Source organism: Homo sapiens, chromosome 8 (genome assembly GCF_000001405.40).
Source record: "Homo sapiens chromosome 8, GRCh38.p14 Primary Assembly".
NCBI classification, from domain to species: domain Eukaryota; kingdom Metazoa; phylum Chordata; class Mammalia; order Primates; family Hominidae; genus Homo; species Homo sapiens.
Window position 1 is genome coordinate 134,456,137 of NC_000008.11, and position 6,801 is coordinate 134,462,937.

General features: G+C 51.2%; 1 annotated feature.

Annotated features, from left to right (window-relative positions):
* Window positions 1,084-1,584: an enhancer, noted in NCBI's record as "H3K4me1 hESC enhancer chr8:135469463-135469963 (GRCh37/hg19 assembly coordinates)". NCBI's record gives its function as "activates a minimal SCP1, AML or CMV promoter by ChIP-STARR-seq in primed H9 embryonic stem cells {active_cell/tissue: H9 hESC(primed)}" and the evidence as "EXISTENCE:reporter gene assay evidence [ECO:0000049][PMID:30033119]".

Below are 6,801 nucleotides of genomic sequence, written 5' to 3' on the forward strand. Positions count from 1 at the left end.
TAAATTAAACGGTGGCCAGGAAGGCACACCCCAGTTAGGAAGGTAAGGAAAGACCCCACGGAGAAGAGAGGACACGATGGGTACCTGACAAGGAAAGTGGGATTTTGAAAGAAAGCGGTGAGGGAAATAGGGTTGCAAGTGAAGGGGCCGGCAGGTGCAAAGGGGCCCGACAGGCTGGGCAGCCACGGCCATCAGAATGTCTGTGTCTCAGGAGAGTCTCAGCATATTGAAGGCAAGAGGAAAGGCAGGCACTTAGGAGACTGAGCCTTCTAATGGGAAACTTTCAGCTTCAGATCTGCCATTCACAGGAGTAGCCCCAAATGCCTGAGAACTTTCTGGAATGTTTGCCTACAGAACAGCCTGCCCTCTAACCTTGCTGGGTTTGTGTGTGTGTGTGTTGTTGTTGTCTTGGCAGTTCTCGGGGAGGAAAAAAACTCTGCTCTCTTTCTCAGTTTTCTCTTTCCTGACAGCGCATCAGGAGGATTAAAGCTGCAAATCCAATCCCTGGTGCAGGAGCTATTGGTCCAGATGCAGCGTCCTGGGCTGTGGAAAGCCTCCACCCAGAGGCAGCCAGGGACCTGGGAGCTGCAGGGGGCAGGGGCACCAGATAGTGACAAGGCAGACAAAACCTTTCCTTCAGGCACAGAGAATGGCTGGGGAAAAAAGAGGAAAATCAGGAAAAGGAATGAAGGGCTGGGGAAGAGGGCCAAGCATTTACATAAAAGCACTGAGGACTACTAAGAGCCAACCACAGGCGGTGCCCCTGTCATCTCTGGAGACTATGAAGGTGAAGTGGCAGGATCTCAGTGCCACTCCTGTCCATGATCAAACGGAACCTTTATCTTCACAGTACAGAAAAGAGTACAGAGCTGAATGATGGCAAAATGATGCTCAGCTCTGTGTGTGTGTTTTATAGCCAGCCATTAATAATTCATGGAGCAGCTAAATGACGAGAGTTGGAGCCCCCAGCTCCGGCACCTGCGCCCTGTCACAGACCCCTCTGCGGGACTGCCAGTCCTTCTCTCTCCGCCTGGAACCAGAGGCGCCTGCCTGCCGCGTCATGCAGCGCCTGACATGCTCGTGACAAAGGCTGACATTCCCTTGACAAAGGCTGGCATCCCGTCTCAGGTTTTTCCTTCAACCCACCCAAAATCAAACGAGCTACAATGTGGCGATTGACCCCCCCTCCCACTGTGCTCTCAGGACCCTGCCCTCAGATGACTGGGCCAGCTGGGCGGGCCTCTGGGACACAGGCCTGAGTTCTGATTGGCCCTGACCCGCCCACGGCAACCTATCAGCTGCGAGGCTTTACGTCTTCCCCTGGGACCAGCTTTTAGTGACATCCCAGGTGCTGCGTGAAGCCTCTGGGCAGGCTGCAAAGGGGAATGACGAATGTATATTATTTCCTCCCGCCTGCCCCCCGCCCGACCCTTGACACAGTTTGTTCCAGCAAATTTCCGGGCGGAGTTTTCCATTCCTTGGGTGAAGGGAGGTAGGGAACATCTGTCCCTGCTCCATCCACTTCTCTCTCAAATTGGCACTGGCTTTCATAGGGATGGCCATGCAGTCCCCCCGGGGGACGGGACAGAGATCTGGACTCTGGGGAGGGGAAATGCCGGCAGCCCCAAGGAAGCCTCTCTTCCAGACCACACCCACCCCGAAGTGGGACTCGGAATGTCAGTGCAGCCACCAGTAACACCAAGGCCACAGGCAGGAGTGGGAAACAGATCCATTCCTGCAGATGTCGTAAGAGACCAGGAAAGATGGCTGACATCACGCAGCAGACCACAGAGCTTCGTACATTCATTTTGTAGTACCACTGTTCTTTCTCCGTTTGCCTCCCTGTTCATTTGGTGTTCTTTTGTTTCATTCAACAGACATTTGTGGGACGCCTACCTTATGACAGGCACTGTGCCCAATACTAGGGATACAGCAGTGAGCAAATAAACTCCTTGCCCACTTAGAAAGTACGTTCCAGTGGGTGGGGGCAATTATGCAATTATGCTATAGAGAGAGAGAGAGAGAGAAAGAGAGAGGTTAAAGGCGGAGGTAGATGCAGATAGAGATACTACTCAACATTATGCGATGGGAAAATACATCGGGCAGGAGGAATGGGGAGAATTAGGGGGAGGGTGTTGCTGTTTAGCTGCAGGTGATCAGGCGGCCTAGTTAACCAGGCCTGGGTCAGGAAGAGCAGGCACTATGACTGGCAGGTGAGGAAGGGCTCCAAGGAACAGTGGGAGCTGGGAGGCTGGAGGGAGGAGGGCCCAGGAGACAGGTCAGAGAGGTCCCGGGCCAGGTGAGGCAGGGATGCTGGACACAGTAGGGACTTTGTGCCCCTGATGGAGAGGGGGAGAGGGTCTTGAGCAGAGAAGCCACCTGACCTGATCAGGCTTGCTTTCCCAGGACCCCCCTGGCTGCTGGGTTGTGGATGACTGTAAGGGATAAAGGCAGAAACAAGGAAGCCAGCCAGGGGCTAACAGAATCCTCCAAGCGATGACGGTGCTCAGAGCTGGCTGATAGTTCGGAAGGTGTGAAGGGCGGCCTCCGGATGCTGCTCCAGGTGTGGATGTGTGTTTGCCAAGGGACCGGATGTGGGGTGAATAGAGGCTCCCTCTTCAACAGGCTTCTGCCCTTCCTCTCAATAGAATCCATGTCCACATTCTGGAAGAACGGGGCTGCCTGCTGCCCCACCACGCACTCCCACTGTGGAGAGTAAGGAAATCCCTGGGCCCTCATGCACCGGACAGGCTCTGACATGGGTGAGATGTTACTTCTACTATTCTCGAAGGGTTATGTATAGAAGACAGAGAAGCTTTACTGAGCCCCCATGTACAGCATGAGGCCAAGCCCTTAGCACGCACACCCCATGTGAGTCCTCAGCATCAACCTGTGAGCTGGAGCTCCCCAGCCCCACTTGACAGATGGGGGTGCACAGACATCCTAGACAGCTATGGTGGCTGTCGACAGCCCTGCAGAGTCCTTGTCCCCAGGAACTGCCAGGGGTGAAATCACGCCCCATACCTGGGCCACCTGACTCCAAACCACTTCCTTTTTCCCCTAAGAAATGTCTGGTTTCTCTCTCTTGGTCCATAGAAAGGCAACACCATGGCCGGGCGTGGTGGCTCACGCCTGTAATCCCAGCACTTTGGGAGGCCGAGGCTGTCAGATCACGAGGTCAGGAGAACGAGACCATCCTGGCTAACACAGTGAAACCCTGTCTCTACTAAAAATACAAAAAATTAGCCGGGCGCGGTGGTGGGTGCCTGTAGTCCCAGCTACTCGGGAGGCTGAGGCAGGAGAATGGCGTGAACCCGGGAGGTGGAGCTTGCAGTGAGCCGAGATTGCGCCACTGCACTCCAGCCTGAGCAACAGAGCGAGACTCCATCTCAACAAAAAAAGAAAAAAAAAAAAAGAAAGAAAAAATAAAAAAGAAAGGCAATACCACTAGCCTGCAAACCTCTGGGCTCAACTTCTTTCCTGACTTCAAGACAGACTCCTCTGTGGTTTCTTCCTCATTTCCTCTTTCCTCCTCTCTGGGTTTTAAGTCTCAGAAAATGAACTATTTCATGAAAAAGAGCTGCATAGAAAAATCATATAGATAATGGAAACCCATTCTATAAAATACGTTTATAATTATATGAATAAATTGAAAATAAATCCACCAAAAATGTCAACAGTAGAATTTTCTAGAAGTATTGTTCTTTCCTGTATATTGCAAATTACCTACAATTCATAGGAGCCATTATTGCCTGAGGTTTACAAACATGGACTCCGGATTGGACAGCCTGGAATCACCTCTGGCCCATGATCTGTGCTGATCTGTGGCCACTCCTTGGCCTCTCTGGGCCTCTCTCTCCTGTTCTATGAAGTAGGGATTCTATGAATATAAAGTCAAGCCTCCCTCCTAGGGCTGCAACCAGGACACAAGGAGGAAGCCCAGGTGAGCATGTATCACACTCCGGCACATAGCAGAGCCGAATGAATGACAGTTCTCACAGTGAGCCAGTGTTGCTCTTAAAAATCACGGGGTACGGAGCATTTTTAGAGGAATAATTTAAAAATAATTCAAAAGCCAGGGTTGAGAGGAGGAGAATTAAACTTTGTTCTAACCTTCAAAGCATGTGATTTGGAGGCTTCTGCATTTGGAACATTTCAAAGCTTCCTGGAATCTATCTTCATTTGGTACCCAAGCACTGGGGAAAGATGATAAACAGCCCTGCAGGAAGAGAGGCAATTAGTAAGCCATGGCTGGGGGCTGCCCGGGAGGCTGCGGTGCTCTTGCTCCCGTGTGTGCGTGCGGTTGTGTCTGTGGGAGTGTGCGGGCCATGTGTGTGCTGTGTGACACGTGTTTGAGCGTTTATTTGTATGTGTGATATACTGTGTAGTATATATGTGAGGTGTATTACTGTAGTATGTGTGTATGTATGGAATGTGTTTTGTGTGTGGTGTTTGTGGGGACTGCAATGTTTTGTGGTATGTGTGTAATATGCGGGGGCTTTTGTATGTGTGGTATTTTGTGTGCTATGTGTGCCGTTTCTGGTACAGGTCTATGTGTAGAGTGTGTTTTCTATGTGGCGTTTGTAGTGTGTGTGATATTCAAGAAGGTGAGGGTGTTTTACGGTGGGTCTGTGTGTGGTGTTTCTGGTGTGTTTGTGTGTGCGGTGTGGGAGGGTGGGGTGTATATGAATGGCGTGTGTGGTGTGTAATGTGGTGAATGTGGGAGTTGTATGTGTGACGTATTGTATGTGGTGTGTATGTGGTGTCTGGTTTGTATGGAATGTGTTTCATGTGTGGTATATAGTGTTTCTAACATGTGGTATGTGTAGTGTGTGCAGTGTGGTGTGCGTGTGGAGTTGTATATGTATTGTGTGTGGTGTTCATGTGTTGTATATGTAATGTATTGTGTGTGGTGTGCGTGTGTTGTATGTGTGATGTGTGTGGTGTGTATGTGGTGTCTGTGGTTTGTATGTACAGAATGTGTTTCATGTGTGGTGTATGGTGTTTCTGACATATGGTATGTGTAGTGTGTGCGGTGTGGTGTGCATGTGGAGTTGTATATGTAATGTATTGTGTGTGGTGTGTGTGTGGAGTTGCATATGTATTGTGTGTAGTGTGCGTGTGGTGTCTGTGGTATATGTGAATGTGTAGAATGTGTTTCATGTGTGGTGTGTGGTATTTCACGATGTGTGGTATTTGTGGTATGTGTGGTGTGGTGTGTGTGTGGAGTTGCATGTGTGATGTGTGTGGTGTTCGTAGTATGTATGTATGGAATGTGTTTTGTGTGTGTGGTGTATGGTGTTTCTGACGTGTGGTATGTGTGGTGTGTGGAATGTGTTTTGTGTATGTGGAATATGGTGTGTGATGTTTATGATGTGTGGTATGTGTGGTGTGTGCAGTATAGTATGTGTAGGGAGTTACATGTGTGACATATTGTGTGTGGTGTTTATAGTATATGTATAGTATGGGATGTGTTTTGTGTGTGTGGTATATGGTGTTTCTGACATGTATGTGTGGCGTGTGTGGTGTGGTGTGTGTGTGGAGTTGTATGTGTGATACATTGTGTGTGGTGTTCATAGTACCTGTGTATGTATGGAATGTGTTTCGTGTGTGTGGTACATGGTGTTTCTGACATGTGTGTGTGGTGTGTGGGATAAGGACATGGGTTTCCAGCACTGGCCTAGGTGGCAGTGGTGGCGCACACATCTGGTTCCCCTCCCTCATTCACCTGCATGCTGCGCCACGTGTGGGCTGGGCACTGGTGAGCCAGATGGATGACAGGCACGGGGGTCAGATCAAAGCCACCTGGTGACTCAGCCAGGTCTGCAGTGGCTGCCCTGGGGACCCCTCGGGCTGCCTCTGAGGGACGATGGCCGACTAGATGGCCTGCATTGACTGTCCAAAGGCCAGGCTGAGCTGGGTGGGCCATGACTGCCTTGTCCACAGAGTGGATCCCCACAGCATCCACTTATCAGCCACTGATCATTGCTCAGCAGGTCTTTCCACTGCATGCTCATCTGCCCACCTCCACCCCCACTGCTCATCTGAATCACCAGCTTGTGCAGACTGGCTGATTCTTCCATCCTACACCAGAGAGGTCCAGGGGCCTGGCTTGGGCTCATTCTGGTCCTCGGTGCTGGCACATGGGAAGTGGTGGGGAAGAGCACGGAACCTGGACCCAGCTGCCCGGCAACGTGTCAGCACAGCTGTATGATGCGGCATGTGCTTAGGTGACTTTCCTCCCCTGGGGACAGGTTTTATGAGGTCTAGATGAGACTATGCACATCAAGTGCTTAGAAACATGCCTGGCACATGGAGAACAGTCAACAGATATTAGCCTAGGAGACAACAACCAAAACACAAAGGTGTTGAGTAAAGGGATGCCAAGCACCCCTTCCTCTGGCTCCCCAGCTGGTCATTTGGGGCTCCCCAATCTGGCATGGCTTCTAAACCCCATATCTGAGCATTGATCACTCTTGTGGCAGCTCTTACCCAGCTGCAGGGGGACCCAGATAATCATGGAATGAGTGCCTCCTGCCTTCCTCCAGGTGGACCACAGGACCAGGGAGGGACTGAAGCCAAGGCAGGAGGCAAGCACTTTGGGGCTCTGCGACAAGAGCTGGCACCGAGGGCAGATGCAGATTCAAGACCAGACAAAGGATCCTGACAGTCTCCCAGCCCCAACCCAGCAGGCTGTGTCACACTCACAGGGCATGGGAGGGCTGTGAGAAGGCAGTGCGCTGACAGTGGAAAGCTGTGTGGCCCCATGGATGGGAATGGAAGAGCGGTCAGCTCCTGCCC